Consider the following 18,566-nt stretch of genomic DNA (forward strand, 5'->3'; position numbering starts at 1 on the left):
TTTCTGCCCTGCGCATTTACAGCTCAAGGCTGCCTACTTCTCTTTGTGTATTCAGCGCGCTATTTAATCATGGACCTAAAAGCTGAGACTTTTTTTTTTTGTCCTTAAACACGATAACTTGTACCCTTTAGGCTCAATTGACTTCTGGTGTCTCTAGGTAATTACCCTGCCAGACTCGACTGTGGCTTGTGATAGCAAGCTAGTATTGACCTAAAGGGACGCAGCTTTAGCAGGACCCGTGGGAGGAAGGACGGCTGCTGGAGACAGACCTCAGTTTTGGCACAGAAGCATGAAGACAGTCTTTTACCTAGGCTTCAGTTTATTATATTCCATATCTAAGCAAACATCCTCGTTTTTGTCATTGCATTTGAGTCTTTCCCAAGAATCCCTTGGCAACACATACGTAAATCTACTCTTAGGTTTGGTCATTTCTGTTCCTACCTATACTTTTGTCTGATCTGGTGTTGATTCTTAGTAAACTCTTGCAGAGTATAATTTTATGTCTAAGTTCTGAGGGTAATTTACCCATTTCACAATCAACAAATATTTAAGGGGCTTCTACTTTGCTAGCCATTTTACTAAACAAAAAAAGAATATGCAACAGTTAAGAGAAAAACATATACTTGCTAACAAGTCATTACAATGCACTTTGAAAAGTCCTTTAGGACATCCTGATGTAAGCACTAAAATTCACTGATTCTAACAAGCATCAGAGCTTTTCAATGATGCGATTTGTAGCTTCCTAATGTAGTGTGTGATATAAAGGCAAGTGTTAGGGGTTCCCAGAGAATATACAAAGGTAGTCTAAGAAGTGTATTTTTCAATAATTTCTAGAAGACCCTAGGGCCTTCAGCATTCTATAAAGTTGAAGTATGCCACTTGCTGTGGTTTGAATTTTTTTTTCCAAAAAACTCATGTTAAAATGTAATCCCCAATGTGGCAGTATTGACAGGGCCTTTAAGAGGTGATTGGGTTGTGACGACTCTACCCTCATGAATGAATTAATCTATTCACGGATTAAAGGATCAATAAGTTAATGGATTAATGTATTATCACAAGGAGTGGGACTGGTAATTTTATAAGAAGAGGAAGAGAGACCTGAGTTAGCACACTAAGTCTCCCTTCCATTTGATGCCCTGAGCCACCTAGGGACTCTGTAGAGAGTCCCCACCGGCTAGAAGATCCATACCAGATGTGGCCCCCTCAACCTTGGACTTCTCAGCCTTTGTAAGATATAAATTCCTTTTTCAAAATAAATTACCCAGTTTTAAGTATTCTATTATAAGCAAGAGAAAAGAGACTAAGACGCCATTAGTAGGAAATAAATACATCTAAATTTGTTTATGTTGTTTTTCTTTAGTTATCTAAACCTTCAAGGTAGCTTTAAGTACTGTACACTTAAGAAATAGCTTTGTGCTCTTGCAAATATGAACTTGCTTAGAGTTCCTTTGTCCTGGTAGAACATGCTGATACAGTGATTAAAATCCTGCTGTTCTTCTGACAGTCCTTTGTGAAATCATAAAATATTTAAGATTGTTTCATGTATATAACAAGTTGAACATTCCTAATCCAAAAATCCAAAATCCTGAATGCTCCTACATCTGAAACTTTTTGAGCACCAACATGATGCCACAAGAAGAAATTGCCACACCTGACCTCATGTGACAAGTCAGAGTCAAAATGCAGTCAAAACTTTGTTTCGTGCAAAAGATTGTTTAAAACATTGTATAAAATTACCTTCAGGCTCTGTGTGTAAATGAATTTCATGTTTAGACTTGAGTCCCATCCCCAAGATAATCTTATATTTATGCAAATATAGCAAAAACCAAAAACCTCTGAAATCCAAAACACTTCCGGTAGTCCCAAGCATTTGGGATAGGGATGTGTAATCTGTATAATAATTTTTCTTAAACAAAGTAAATTGCTCTGAGCAGGTCATATATGGAGCCCAATCCTCTTCAAAAATATTAGCAAAAAACTTTTTAAGGACAGAATGTCTACCTATCCCACCACTTCCTATTAAAATAACATGCCTACATATTATTTTAGGCATGCATTTCCTGTTATACAATGTTATGAGTTTTATTATATTCTGAAATATAATTGTGTCTTACTGGGGATGCCAGACTCCTGGGGGAACAGTTATATCTTGTATGCATTTAAAATGCATATTTACATACTTATAAATTGTATTTTATGGTATTCTCTTACTCTGCTTTGTGCTACTATAACAAAATACCTGACACGGAGTAATTTATAAAGAACAGAGATCTATTTCTTACAGTTCTGGAGGCTGTAAAGCCCAAGGTCAAGGGAACTGCATCTGGCAAGCATCTTGTTGCTGTGTCATACCATGGCAGAAGGAATAATATGGTAAGAGCACAAGAAAGAGAGCAAGAAAGGACAGAGACCTCATGACCTAATTACCTCTTAAAAGTCCCACCTCTCTACATTGTTGCACCAGGGATTAAGTTTCCAACAGATGAACTTGGAGGGACACACTCAAAATCATAATAGCATTGTCTCTTACTTAGGCTGTATATGTACAGCTTGTGTAGTTTTATTCATTCTTCTTGTTGATCTGTACAAATGTGTTTTTGTAGAACACATTGGGAAATTCAGATTAACATGGCTGCCATTATTTCACATGAACCTAAAAGATGTAGATTAATTTTATTTTTACTATGAAATTTAAACCTGAAGATGTAATAATCCAATTTCCCAAGCAACTTTGCTAATTGATGTTTATGTTGTAGTGAAAAAATAATGAAGCTTTGGTGTCAGCCATTACCTGGACTAATATCCCATCTATATTACTTACTGTCTCTGTAAGCTTAACTTCATGTCTTCATGTATAAAAGGAAAATAATTATCCAAAAGGCTACTGTTAAAGCTCAATATATTTAATATAATAAATATAATGCACTTAAACAGTGCATGCCACTATAGGATATTTCCTTTTTTATTTAGAAAGCACAGACTTAATAATAAATGTACCTGCTAAGTTAAATCATAAAAAGATAGCTATAATGAGCTAGGGAAATTGATTTAAAAAGTTAAATCAATATCTGTCATTATACACATCTACCATTATTCATGAAGAAGGCCTTGTCACTTTAGCTACACTTGTAATAGAGGTCATTTTATTGATGTAACATATGGCTACCAGGTAGATTAAGATATTTATTCATCTGTTTTTGATGAAAGGAACAATCATGATGGCAGATTAGAATATTATGGGAAAACATGTCCTTGCTCCAGTGAGTGGTCTTCTTGAAATTACTTTTCAAATTTATTGTTGTTCAATTACAGTAGTTCTCCTATTCTCAAAGTCTGACATGAAATATACTATCAAATAAGAATATTCACAAGTACATAAGTAATAAGATAGTAGCAAACATAGAGAAAAATCATGTTTTGTCCTTCAGAATCCTTCAAGATTCAATGCTTTCCCAGCAGTTTCAACTTTAAGAATTAACATTTCCCTCCTCTTATTGCATTAACAACATTAAGTCAAATCAAAAGAGAAGAAAAGCATCACACTCCCAGCAGCTCAGTAAATCAAGTGGTTTACCTGTTTCCTTTCCTTGGAAGTAAGTATGTATATTTTCAGGGTTTTAAGTGCAGAGATTGTGTCATAAGCTCATGTTTTTTAGTTTTTCTTTACAAAATGGTTCCTAAACACACTCCAATTAGCATGATATAAACAATGGAATATACACAGACAAAGATTGAAAGAGAGCTGCAAAATTGTTTAGGAAGTGTATTAGTCTGTTCTTATGCTCCTAAAAAAGACTGGGTAATTTATAAAGGAAAGAGGTTTAATTGACTCACAGTTCCACATGGCTAGGGAGGCCTCACAATCATGGAGGAAGGTGAATGAGGAGCAAAGTCACATCTTACATGGCAGCAGGCAAAAGACAGCATGTGAAGGGGAACTCCCCTTTATAAAACAATCAGATCTTGTGAGACTTATTCACAGCCACAAGAACAGCATGGGAATGATCCAACCCCATGATTCAATTACCTCCCACTGAGTCCCTCTCAAAACAGGTGGGAATTATGGCAGCTACAGTTCAAGATGAGATTTGGGTGGGGACACAGCCAGACCATATCAGGAAGATGTAATGATGACTGATTTCACCCTCCCTTTTCCATTTTCCCCCCAGTTTTATTGAGGTATAATTGACAAATAAAAATTATATATATATATGGTGTACAACACGATGTTTTGATATACATTGTGAAATGATTCAAACTAATTAACATATCATCATCTCACATACTTATCATTTTTTTGAGGTGAGGATTTAAGACAGACTCTCTTAGAAATTTTAAAATATATAATACATTATAGTTAACACAATCACCACACGGTACAATAGATCATCAAAACTTATTTATCCTGTAGAACTGAAATTTTGTACCTTTTGACCAACTTCTCCCCATTCCCACCCCCATCCCAGAGCCCCTAGCAACCACTATTCTACTCTCTGCTTGTCTAGAGCCCACATACAAGTGAGATCACACAGAATATTTTTCTGTACCTGGCATAACGAGCTAAGAATAAAGTCTTCTAGATTCATCTTTGTGTCACAATTGACAAGGCTTCCTTCTTTTTAAATCTTTTTTATCTTTCTTTAATTATTTTTTAACTGACAAAAATTATATATATTCATGCTATATAACGTGGTGTGTTGAAATATGCATGCATTTTACAATGGCTAAATCGAGCTAATTAATATATTTATTATCCCAGCTTCTTCTTATTTTTTGTGGTGAGAAAACTTAAAATCCACTCTTTTAGTGATTTTCAAGTATGCAATACATTGTTATGAACTATATTCACCATGTTGTACAATTATAAATTTCTTGAACTTATTATTCATGTCTAACTGAAATTTTGTATCATTCAACAAATGTTTTCACAGTAATTCCCCATCCCAGTCCCTGGCAACCATTACTTTACTCTCTGCTTCTATGAGGTTGACTTTTTTAGATTTCACATATAAGTGAGATCATGTGATATTTATCTTTCTGTACTGGGCTTATTTCACTTAAAATAATATCATCCAGGCTGGGTGTGGTAGCTCATGCTTGTAATCCCAGCACTTTGGGAGGCTAAGGCAGGTGGATCACAGGAGGCCAGGAGTTCAAGAGCACCCTGACCACCAAAGCAAAACCCCTTTTCTACTAAAAATACAAACATCAGCTGGGCATGGTGGTGTGCGCCTGTAATCCCAGCTACTCAGGAGGCTTGGGCACAAGAATCCTTGAACCTGAGAGACGGAGGTTGCAGTGAGCCAAGATCACACCACTGCACTCCAGCCTGGGTGACAGAATGAGACCCTGTCTCAAAAACAAACAAATAATAATAATATCATCAAGATCCGTCCATATTGTTGCAAATAATAGGATTTTCTTCTATTCAAAGGCTGAATAGTATTCTATTTCTATAATGCAATATATATCACATTATACGCACACACAAACACACACACACATACACATACATCACATTTTCTTTATCCATTCATCCATTAAATGGATGCTTTGATTGATCCCATATCTTCGGTATTGTGAATAATGCTACAATGAACATGGGAGTGCATACATCTCTTCAACATACTGAACAGATACGGCCATAGGTCCAGCAGTGGGAGCCCTGGATCATGTATAGTTCTATTTTCAGTTTTTTGAAAAGCCTTTAGACTATTTTTAATAATGTCTCTCCTAATTTACATTACCACCAAGGAATGTATAAGTGTCTCCTTTTCTCCACATCCTTGCCAGCACTTGCTATCTTTTGTCTTTTTTGTCTTTTGTTTTTTATTATACTTTAAGTTCAAGGGTACATGTGCACAACGTGCAGGTTTGTTACTTATGTATACATGTGCCATGTTGGTGTGCTGCACCCATTAACTCGTCATTTACATTAGGTATATCTCCTATGCTACTCCTCCCCACTTCCCGCACCCCACAACAGGCCCTGGTGTGTGATGTTCCCCTTCCTGTGTCCAAGCGTTCTCATTGTTCAATTCCCACCTATGAGTGAGAACATCAGGTGTTTGATTTTTTACCCTTGCAATAGTTTGCTGAGAATGATGGTTTCCAGCTTCATCCACGTCCCTACAAAGGACATGAACTCATCCTTTTTTATGGCTGCATAGTATTCCATGGTATATATGTGCCACATTTTCTTAATCCAGTCTATCATTGATGGACATTTGGATTGGTTCGAAGTCTTTGCTATTGTGAATAGTGCCACAATAAACATACATGTGCATGTGTCTTTATAGTAGCATGATTTATAATCCTTTGGGTATATACCCAGTAATGGGATGGCTGGGTCAAATGGTATTTCTAGTTCTAGATCCTTGAGGAATTGCCACACTGTCTTCCACAATGGTTGAACTAGTTTACAGTCCCACCAACAATGTAAAAGTGTTCCTATTTCTCCACATCCTCTCCAGCACCTGTTGTTTCCTGACTTTTTAATGATCACCATTCCAACTGGTGTGAGATAGTATCTCATTGTGGTTCTGATTTGCATTTCTCTGATGGCCAGTGATGGTGAGCATTTTTCATGTGTCTGTTGGCTGCATAAATGTCTTCTTTTGAGAAGTGTCTGTTTATATCCTTTGCCCACTTTTTGATGGGGTTGTTTTTTTCTTGTAAATTTGTTTGAATTGTTTGTAGATTCTGGATATTAGCCCTTTGTCAGATGAGTAGGTTGCAAAAATTTTCTCCCATTCTATAGGTTGCCTGTTCACTTTGATAATAGTTTCTTTTGCTGTGCAGAAGCTCTTTAGTTTAATTAGATCCCATTTGTCAATTTTAGCTTTCATTGCCATTGCTTTTGGTGTTTTAGACATGAAGTCCTTGCCCATGCCTATGTCCTGAAAGGTATTGCCTAGGTTTTCTTCTAGGGTTTTTATGGTTTTAGGTCTAACATTTAAGTCTTTGATCCATCTTGAATTAATTTTTGTATAAGGAGTAACAAAGGGATCCAGTTTCAGCTTCCTACATATGGCTAGCCAGTTTTCCCAGAACCATTTATTAAATAGGGAATGCTTTTCCCATTTCTTGTTTTTATCAGGTTTGTCAAAGATGAGATGGCTGTAGATGCATGCTATTATTTCTGAGGGCTCTGTTCTGTGGCATTGGTCTATATCTCTGTTTTTGTACCAGTACCATGCTGTTTTGGTTACTGTAGCCTTGTAGTATAGTTTGAAGTCAGGTAGTGTGATGCCTCCAGCTTTGTTCTTTTGGCTTAGGATTGTCTTGGCAATGGGGGCTCTTTTTTGGTTCCATATGAACTTTAAAGTAGTTTTCTCCAATTCTGTGAAGAAAGTCATTGGTAGCTTGATGGGGATGGCATTGAATCTATAAATTACCTTGGGCAATATGGCCATTTTCATGATATTGATTCTTCCTATCCATGAGCATGGAATGTTCTTCCATTTGTTTGTGTCCTCTTTTATTTCACTGAGCAGTGGTTTGTAGTTCTCCTTGAAGAGGTCCTTCACATCCCTTGTAGATTGGATTCCTAGGTATTTTATTGTCTTTGAAGCAATTGTGAATGGGAGTTCACTCATAATTTGGGTCTCTGTTTGTGTGTTATTGGTGTATAAGAATGCTTGTGATTTTTGCACATTGATTTTGTATCCTGAGACTTTGCTGAAGTTGCTTATCAGCTTAAGGAGATTTTGGGCTGAGAAGATGGGGTTTTCTAAATATACAATCATGTCATCTGCAAACAGGGACAATTTGACTTCCTCTTTTCCTAATTGAATACCCTTTATTTCTTTCTCCTGCCTGATTGCCCTGGCCAGAACTTCCAAAACTATGTCGAATAGGAGTGGTGAGAGAGGGCATCCCTGTCTTGTGCCAGTTTTCAAAGGGAATGCTTCCAGTTTTTGCCCATTCAGTATGATATTGGCTGTGGGTGTGTCATAAATAGCTCTTATTATTTTGAGATACGTCCCATCAATACCTAATTTATTGAGAGTTTTTACATGAAGCGCTGTTGAATTTTGTCAAACGCCTTTTCTGCATCTATTGAGATAACCATGTCGTTTTTGTCTTTGGTTCTGTTTATATGCTGGATTACATTTATTGATTTGTGTATGTTGAACCAGCCTTGCATCCCAGGGATGAAGCCCACTTGATCATGGTGAATAAGCTTTTTGATGTGCTGCTGGATTTGGTTTGCCAGTATTTTACTGAGGATTTTTTGCATTGAAGTTCATCAGGGATATTGGTCTAAAATCCTCTTTTTTTGTTGTGTCTCTGCCAGGCTTTGGTATCAGGATGTTGCTGGCCTCATAAAATGAGTTAGGGAGGATTCCCTCTTTTTCTATTGATTGGAATAGTTTCAGATGGAATGGTACTAGCTCCTTCTCGTACCTCTGGTAGAATTCGGCTGTGAATCCGTCTGGTCCTGGACTTTTTTTGGTTAGTAGGCTATTAATTATTGCCTCAATTTCAGAGCCTGTTATTGGTCTATTCAGGGATTCAACTTCTTCCTGGTTTAGTCTTGGGAGGGTGTATGTGTCGAGGAATTTATCCATTTCTTCCAGATTTTCTAGTTTATTTGCATAGAGGTGTTTATAGTATTCTCTGATTGTAGTTTGTATTTCTGGGGGATCGGTGGTGATATCCCCTTTATCATTTTTTATTGCATCTATTTGATTCTTCTCTCTTTTCTTCTTTATTGGTCTTGCTAGTGGTCTATCAATTTTGTTGATCTTTTCAGAAAACCAGGTCCTGGATTCTTTGATTTTTTGAAGGGTTTTTTGTGTCTCTATCTCCTTCAGTTCTGCTCTGATCTTAGTTATTTCTTGCCTTCTGCTAGCTTTTGAATATGTTTGCTTTTGCTTCTCTAGTTCTTTTAATTGTGATGTTAGGGTGTCAATTTTAGATCTTTCCTGCTTTCTCTTGTGGGCTTTTAGTGCTATAAATTTCCCTCTATAGACTGCTTTAAATGTGTCCCAGAGATTCTGGTATGTTTTATCTTTGTTCTCATTGGTTTCAAAGAACATCTTTATTTCTGCCTTCATTTCCTTATGTACCCAGTAGTCATTCAGGAGCAGGTTGTTCAGTTTCCATGTAGTTGAGTGGTTTTGAGTGAGTTTCTTAATCCTGAGTTCTACTTTGATTGCACTGTGGTCTTAGAGACAGTTTGTTATAATTTCTGTTCTTTTACATTTGCTGAGGAGTGCTTTATTTCCAACTATGTGGTCAGTTTTGGAATAAGTGCAACGTCGTGCTGAGAAGAATGTATATTCTGTTGATTTGGGGTGAAGAGTTCTGTAGATGTCTATTAGGTCTGCTTGGTGCAGAGCTGAGTTCAAGTCCTGGATATCCTTGTTAACTTTTTGTCTTGTTGATCTGTCTAATGTTGACAGTGGGGTGTTAAAGTCTCCCATTATTATCGTATGGGAGTCTAAGTCTCTTTGTAGGTCACTAAGGACTTGCTTTATGAATCTGGGTGCTCCTGTATTGGGTGCATATATATTTAGGATAGTTAGCTCTTCTTGTTGAATTGATTCCTTTACCATTATGTAATGGCCTTCTTTGTCTCTTTGTTGGTTTAAAGTCTGTTTTATCAGAGACTAGGATTGCAACCCCTGCCTTTTTTTGTTTTCCATTTGCTTGGTAGATCTTCCTCCATCCCTTTATTTTGAGCCTATGTGTGTCTCTGCATGTGAGATGAGTTTCCTGATAGGTCTTGACTCTTTATCCAATTTGCCAGTCTGTGTCTTTTAATTGGAGCATTTAGCCCATTTACATTTAAGATTAATACTGTTATGTGTGAATTTGATCCCGTCATTGTGATGTTAGCTGGTTATTTTGCCCGTTAGTTGATGCAGTTTCTTCCTAGCCTCGATGGTCTTTACAATTTGGCATGTTTTTGCAGTGGCTGGTACTGGTTGTTCCTTTGCATGTTTATGCAGTGCAGTGGCTCATGCCTGTAATCCCAGGGAGGCTGAGGCGCGGCGGATCACCTGAGGTCAGGAGTTCGAGACCAGCCTGGCCAACATGGTGAAACCCTGTCTCTCCTAAAAATTACAAAATTAGCTGGGTGTGGTGGCAGGTGCCTGTAATCCCAGTGCTTCCTTCAGGAGCTCTTGTAGGGCCAGCCTGGTGGTGACAAAATCTCTCAGTGTTTGCTTCTCTGTATAGGATTTTATTTCTCCTTCACTTATGAAGCATAGTTTGGCTGGATATGAAATTCTGGGTTGAAAATTCTTTCCTTTAAGAACGTTGAATATTAGTCCCCACTCTCTTCTGGCTTGTAGAGTTTCTGCTGAGAGATCTGCTGTTAGTCTGGTGGGCTTCCCTTTGTGGATAACCCAACCTTTCTCTCTTGCTGCCCTTAACATTTTTTCCTTCATTTCAACTATGGCAAATCTGACAATCACATGTCTTGGAGTTGCTCTTCTCGAGGAGTATCTTTGTGGCGTTCTCTGTATTTCCTGAAGTTGAATGTTGGCCTGCCTTGCTAGATTGGGGAAGTTCTCCTGGATAATATCCTGCAGAGTGTTTTCCAACTTGGTTCCATTCTCCCCGTCACTTTCAGGTACACCAATCAGACGTAGATTTGGTCTTTTCACATAGTCCCATATTTCTTGGAGGCTTTGTTCATTTCTTTTTATTCTTTTTCTCTAAACTTCTCTTCTCGCTTCATTTCGTTCATTTGATCTTCCATCACTGATACCCTTTCTTCCAGTTGATCGAATCAGCTACTGAAGCTTGTGCATTCGTCATGTAGTTCTCATGCCATGGTTTTCAGCTCCATCAGGTCATTTAAGGAGTTCTCTACACTGGTTATTCTAGTTAGCCATTCATCTATTCTTTTTTCAAGGTTTTTAGCTTCTTTGCAATGGGTTTTACCTTCCTCCTTTAGCTCGGAGAAGTTTGATCGTCTGAAGTCTTCTTCTCTCAACTCGTCAAAGTCATTCTCTGTCCAGCTTTGTTCCATTGCTGGCGAGGAGCTGTGTTCCTTTGGAGGGGGAGAGGCGCTCTGATTTTTAGAATTTTCAGCTTTTCTGCTCTGTTTTTCCCCATCTTTGTGGTTTTATCTACCTTTGGTCTTTGATGATGGTGACGTACAGATGGGGTTTTGGTGTGGATGTCCTTTCTGTTTGTTAGTTTTCTTTCTAACAGTCAGGACCCTCAGCTGCAGGTCTGTTGGAGTGTGCTGGAGGTCCACTCCAGACCCTGTTTGCCTGGGTATCAGCAGCGGAGGCTGCAGAACAGTGAATATTGCTGAACAGCAAATGTTGCTGCCTGATCATTCCTCTGGAAGCTTCGTCTCAGAGGGGTACCTGGCCGTGTGGGGTGTCAGTCTGCCCCTACTGTGGGATGCCTCCCAATTAGGCTACTCGGGGGTCAGGGACCCACTTGAGGAGGCAGTCTGTCCGTTCTCAGATCTCAAACTCCATGCTGGGAGAACCACTACTCTCTTCAAAGCTGTCAGACAGGGACATTTAAGTCTGCAGAGGTTTCTGCTGCCTTTTGTTTGGCTATGCCCTGCCCCCAGAGGTGGAGTCTACAGAGGCAGGCAGGCCTCCTTGAGCTGCGGTGGGCTCCACCCAGTTTGAGTTTCCAGGCTGCTTTGTTTACCTACTCAAGCCTCAGCAATGGTGGGCACCCCTCCCCCAGCCTCACTGCCACCTTGCAGTTCGATCTCAGACTGCTGTGCTAGCAATGAGCAAGGCTCCATGGGCATGGGACCCTCTGAGCCAGGAGCAGGATATTATCTCCTGGTGTTCCGTTTGCTGAGACTGTTGGAAAAGCACAGTATTAGGGTGAGAGTGATCTGATTTTCCAGGTGCTTTCTGTTACAGCTTCCCTTGGCTAGGAAAGGGAATTCCCTGACCTTTTGCACTTCCCGGGTGAAGAGATGCCTAGCCCTGCTTTGGCTCATGCTCAGTGGGTTGCACTCACTGTCCTGCACCCACTGTCCGAGAAGCCCCTGTGAGATGAACCTGGTACCTCAGTTGGAAATGCAGAAATCACCGGTCTTCTGCGTCGCTCACGCTGGGAGCTGTAGACTGGGGCTGTTCCTGTTTGGCCATCCTCTTTTGTCTTTTTTATAGTAGCCACTCTAACAAGTGTGAGGTGCTGTCTTTTTGTACTTTTAATTTGCATATTTTCTGACAGTTAGTGATATTGACCATTTTTTATATACTTATTGTCTGTTTGTGTGTTTTCTTTTGAGAAATGTCTATTCAGATCCTTTGCCCATTTTTCAGTTGGGTTATTTGTTTTCTTGCTGTTGAGCTTTTTGAGTCTCTTTTATATTTTGGATATTAACTTCTTATTAGATGGATGGTTTGCAAATATTTTCTCTCATTCTCTTGGTTGTCCCATCCCTTTTTTCAAATGTGCTTTAATATTATTACATTTTATTTTCTATAAATATATGTTAACAGCTAACATATATATTGAGTGCCAGACAATATTTTAAATGTTTTACAGGCATCTTATTTAATTCTTACATTTTTGCAGATGAAGGGAAGGAGTCACAAAGAGGCTAAGTAATTTTATTGGGGTCATACTTCTAAGATTAAATTGCCCTAAATGTGATACTTAATACAATTTGTTATAATTCAGTCTCATGTTTTTTGCATAATTATTGACAATAGCCCAAATATGGAATCAACCTAAATGCTTATCAGCAAATGAATAGTTTTTTTAAATGTGGTATACAGATACAATAGAATACTATTTATCTTTAAAAAAAAGAAAGAGATCCCATTATTTGTGACAACACGGATGAACCTGAAGGACATTAAGTAAAATAAGCCAGGCACAGAAAGACAAATATCACATGATCTGTTATATGTGAAATCTAAAAACTTTGAACTCAGAAGTAAAGAGTGGAATGGTGGTTACCAGGGGCAAGGTTGGGGGTAATTGTTGGGGAGTTGTTGGTCAAAGGATGCAAAATTTCAGTTGAGGTAGGAAGAATAAATTCATGAGATCTTTTTTACAACATGGCAACTATAGTTAATAACAATGCATTGTATTCTTGAAAGTTGCTAAGAGAGTAGATTTTAAGTGTTCTCATCACAAAAAATGTACGATAATTCATATGTTAATTCATTCAATTTAGCTCTTCCACAATTTCAAAACAATATGTTGTACAGGATAAATATGTGCAATTTTTGTCAACTAATTTTTTAAAAAAAGATCAAACTGTCAAAGCAGATTCACACAAATCACATGTCATGCGTGCAACAAAATTAACTAAATGTTAGCAAAGAATATTAGCACAAGACAGCCACGAGCTCCATGAGTTTCTATGAGGTCCTGAATCCATCAAACAAGCCTCTTTGAAGTTCTTTTTCACACACCAAGATGTGAGGATCACAAACTGTATGTGGTATAGTTTGGCACAGTAGAGGCCATTCCAGTTTGAGGTTTCTCAGTTTGGGTATTTTAGTAGGCTGGTAACAGCTTTTGTATCCAGCTGCATCCTACAAATTAATAAAATTCTAGGCTTAATTAAAATAAGTTATCCAGAGAGATCAGAGATATTCTGTAAAACCGTCTTTCACAAAAACTTAATCTTCTTGTAAATGGATCCCATCACAGTGTCTCTGAGAATATTCGATGAGGGAAATAATGCCTTTGATGCCCCAGAGGAAAGACAGGGAGAATTAGAACTCCTTTTAATTCTTTCCTCTCAGTGCCTCATTGTTGGTGAGGCTTATGGCAACCAAATATCTACTGAAATATCTGGCCTTGGTCAGGACTGACACAATGCAAGTCTGGCGCTTTAGTCATTTTTCTTCTCTGCATCTTGACTCATGCGGGCATTGTTTTTACTTTGATTTTGGTTACTTTCGATAAAATTGTAAATTGTGTGTGTGTGTGTGTGTGTAAATTATTTGAATTGTCCAAAAACTTCTTAGAAATCAAAGATAAGGGCATTTTTCATAAAACGGTTACATTTTTATTAGGAATAACATTTTTTTCTATAGAGACAACCACAAAATATTTAAATTTCTGACCAAAAAAAATATGAAAAGAGACATTTTCATTGTAGTTTTTGATAGCTGAACCCCTGAGTTTATCTGACATAAATCCTTACTTCAGCAACATCCTGAGAACTGACCATGGAGCTTTCAGTTAACACTCCTTTGGTAAATTTATTATTTTGCTAAGTAGCCCATTCTCTCTTGGATCAACTATATTTTATACATTTAACACAAAGCATTTCTCTTTCACTGTATCTCATTTTGCCTTCCAGGGTTACACTATGTTCAGTCAAATCTTTATACCACATGTTAATACTTCAGTTGTTTGAAGGCATGTGGTATGGTAGAAAGAACACTGAACTAGGAATCAAGAGACTTGAGTTACTGTTGCAACTCTACCACTAACTAGCTTTTTAACCTCAATATCCTTGTATCTCTTCTTGTTCCTAGTATCTAAAACTGGAGAGTAGCAGCAGTAAACTAAATGACTACAGAACCCCTGTGCCTCTCTTTTTTTCTGTGGCTTTAGCATTGTCAACCATCCAGGGAAATGTTGAGGGGAGCCTTTCATGTTTCATTTTAAATACAATGTGGCATACAAATATTTCATATTAAATACAACATGGCATAGAAAGTTGGTGCTCACCTTTACTTGTGCTTTTGGACATGCTGATAGAATATCTTTCTCACTCCCCAGGCACTCATAGGGCTTTGGGACTGGATTCTGACTAAGGAAGTGCAGATGAACAAATATGGGGTACCCCTTCCAGGCCAGGGCTCGAAACTTCTCAAGCTCTTTGCGTGTGCTCCTGCACTCTCTTTCTCTCTCTTTCACTTTTTTTGTTTCTTGGCCAGATATAGAGAACCCATTAAAGGATGCCAAGGCCCTAGAAGACAGACAACCTAGAGAGAAAACCCATTAGCCTGGGCTCCTAAATGATCTGTACTAAACTGTGATGTAAAAAAAGAAATATTTAATACAACTTAATGTAATTAAGTCTCTGAAATTTTGAGGTTGTTTGTTTTAGAAGTTAGTTTATCCTTTGTCTAAAAATAACACTTTCTCCTTTCCCTGAAGGTGAATAAGCTCCACTTTCTCCTTACCCGGAAGGTGAATATAGATTTATATAATTTATATACCACTTATTCATTTCAGAAAGCTCCTCAATTATAATTAAGAAATTGTCACAATCCCTCATGGGGAAAGATGTACTTTCCTTCTCATTTTAGGCTACAGAATTTTGGGCAATGAAAAATGAATTGCAGCATACTCAAAAGCAATAACTATTTCCACCAGGGTACAGAATTCATTTGTTAGAAATCAAATGCTATAACTACCAATGTTTTATTTGTATAATGCCCACATTTATTAGAAATTTGCAAATGACGGTTTTCTCTGCTTAACATTTTCCTTTAATTTACTAAGGTGCCCTTCTTGATTAATGTCACTTCTTGTTTTGACCATTATGCACATTGCTAGATAAAGCATATGAATATGGAAATAGTAGAGGCATTTTAAAAACATCAAACTTTTTAACTTTAAGGTCCTTACACATTTTCATTTTCAAAATAATGATAATTAAATGCATTGTTTTTTAATTTTGTCTGCCTCTAACACATCTCAAGGTTAAAAACAATAAAAAACATATTGCTTAATTAGAGCACATGTGAAGACTATCCAATGCCAGTGAGAAAAGAAAAAACATGTTAATTACTCAATCCTCTAATACCATTCTAGAAGAGTGGCTTCTGGTAATTGGAAGACTATTTGCTGAGTGAGGTGATGTCTGTGGGTATGCACGTTTGCTTGTTGGAGCAGTAACCAGGCTGACTTTTCATAACTAAAAACAAGAAATTATTCAGAGATGAGGAAAAGATCTGGAAACAAGGAAAAGAAGAGCTAAACAGATTAAATACTGAGCAGAGAAAAAGTGAAGATGGAAAGCTCCCTGGCCATTAGCAAAGCTAGAGAATCTTATGAAAACGACTTAAGAGGGTTGTGTGCTGCTGGCTGTGATAGAAAATGCTTCTTTTCCTTCCCTGTGGAAGCTTCAGTAATATCTATGTTGCTGACGGTTATTTCTGCTGGTAACGAAATAAGTTCTAAGTCCTGGCTGCAGGAATGTATAAAGCTGAGAAATAGAGATTTGAACAACAGCTCCATAAATTTAACAAAGGTCAAAATCTTGGTCAACAACAGGCCTCCTACTGGAGTTTCAGAAAATTGTTACCGAGCAGTACCATCGGTCTGTCTCAAACAACAATCTCTCATCGCCCTCAACCTACCACAGGACTTCTCAAGGTTCTCATCTCTTTCTCTGCCCCGGCATAACTTCAGGAGTAAGGGACAGTGAGCTCAGTAGATAACCTTGTGCATATTTCCTGGAAACTCTATCCCCACTCAGCATGCTTAGTGAGGATTGCACCTTTCTGATCTTTTCTGATGTGATCTTGCTCAACCCTCCTTCATCTCAATAGACTAGTATTTCTTAACTTTTTATTTACTGCACAATTTTATAACAAAAGAGAATTGAACAAAAAAAAAAAAGAAAACAATCTCACCGTCTTAACATACTGTTTCATTTTTTTTCTGGTTCTGTTTACTCCTAATCCTTATAAATCAACAGTTTATATAGTTGGGACTATAGTATATATACAATTTTATGCTCTGCTTTTAAAATTTCATATGTGTCATACAAATCTTTTCATGTAAATGTTGCTGTGAAGTCTTTGAAATTACTGTATTTAATATTGCAGGTATTCTAACAGATTGATATAAACCTTGGGTTCTTTTCTTTACTTTTCTTTTTTCTTTTTTCATATAGTGAAGCCTTCAGTCTTTTCCTTAGAACCAGGCCTGAAAAGTCCTCAGTTTCTTGCATGAAAAACCATTCTTTGGCTGCCTCCTTCTGCCTACTGTAAAATCTCATTCTTGTCTGTATCTGATTCTTCTGCACAAAACCTTTCTTGACTGAATATCTCCAGACTTATTTTTAGTAGCCCCTTGCATAATCCTTTAGGTATGATTTTACAACTCATGATGAACTTGGCTTCAGCCTCTAGATTTTTTGATTTAAGTAATTTGGCATGGGTTAACTAGAAGTTCATACAGGTGAACTCTGGAAATCTTAAGTAAATTTAAATTTAAATCATTCTTCTGAATGGAGAAGATATGTATTTACTAAATATCACAATGAATGTATTGTATGGAGCATAGAAATACAAAATATCATTTGATCCCTATAAAACCTTAAGAAATAGACATTATTAATTTTTATTTTCTTAGAGGAAAAAAACCTTAGTGCCACAACTTTAACATGATCGAGGACACATTACTCGAAAATGGCAGAGCCATGTAAATTTGAACCTAGTTCTGATTTCAATTTCCATTATATTTTCTTGCATTGCTCAAGTATCACCACAGATTCCCGTTGTATGTACATCTCATTTACTTTTTGTCCCACAGTAGTGAACTGCTAGAAGGAAACATGACAAAATTTTAATGCTTTTTCTGTTTGTATTTTTTAAATTTTGTTTTTTTTTCTTGTGCCCAAAGGCACAAGTTTTACTTTTAAAATCATAATAAAAGTATATAAAATTTAATGGGCATAAGGATATTAACATTTTATCAAACAAGCATGTGTTTTGTGGTCAGATAGATCAGAATTTGAATCCAAGTACTACCACTTACTTATTCTCTTTAGCCTCATTTCCCTCATTTGTGTTGAGGTAATGATAGTACCAATCTCAAAAGCTGATGAAATGAGATAATATACTAGTTATTATGCCAGATAATATACCTGGCATCTAGTAAGTCTTCAAAAAATCTTAGCTGTCATTATTTATTATACTGGCTTTCTCGTATTTAAGTACTTAAAACTCTTAGGTATGCTGAATATTTGGTCTTGATTTCTCAATTCTGTGGTTACAGTTTTTAGTTCATTTTAATGCATTGTTTTGAAAATATGTCAGTTCTATGATAATAAATCCTGTGATAGCATTTAGCACAAGTGCAGACAAAGGCTTTAGCTTCCCCTGTGGGTACATCATAGTAATCATGGCATCAACAGCAACATGCTTCTTGATTAGATCAATTAATTCAGGAAGACAAGATATTTATTTTGCATTTTTCAATTTTTATGCTCCATGGTGACTTCCTATTGTTAAATGCTTGTCATTACTCTTACATTTTATTTCATCTAGACCACTGAATGGTGTAATGAACTTACAATTACATATATGAGAGCAATTTATCTAATATCAATTCTCCACCAAAATCATGACCTATAAGAGATAAAAAAAAAAGGGGGTACTAAAAAGAGTGAGAGAGAACATTATAGCTCTGCACAACTTTTCAGAACTTTCTTTAATACTTAGAGGTATTATCAGGTGAGAATTAGAGATTGGAAATGTTGATTGGTTTTTCATGTTTATTAGCCATTTGAATTTCTTCTTTCATTTTTATTTATATCATTTGCCTGTTTTTATTGTTTCTTTCTCTCCCTCTTTCTCTGCTTAAGCAAAAATGGGAATGGATCATAAGGACACAGAAGTATTTCACAATTTCACACA

This window comes from Homo sapiens, chromosome 9, assembly GCF_000001405.40.
Source record: "Homo sapiens chromosome 9, GRCh38.p14 Primary Assembly".
NCBI lineage: Eukaryota > Metazoa > Chordata > Mammalia > Primates > Hominidae > Homo > Homo sapiens.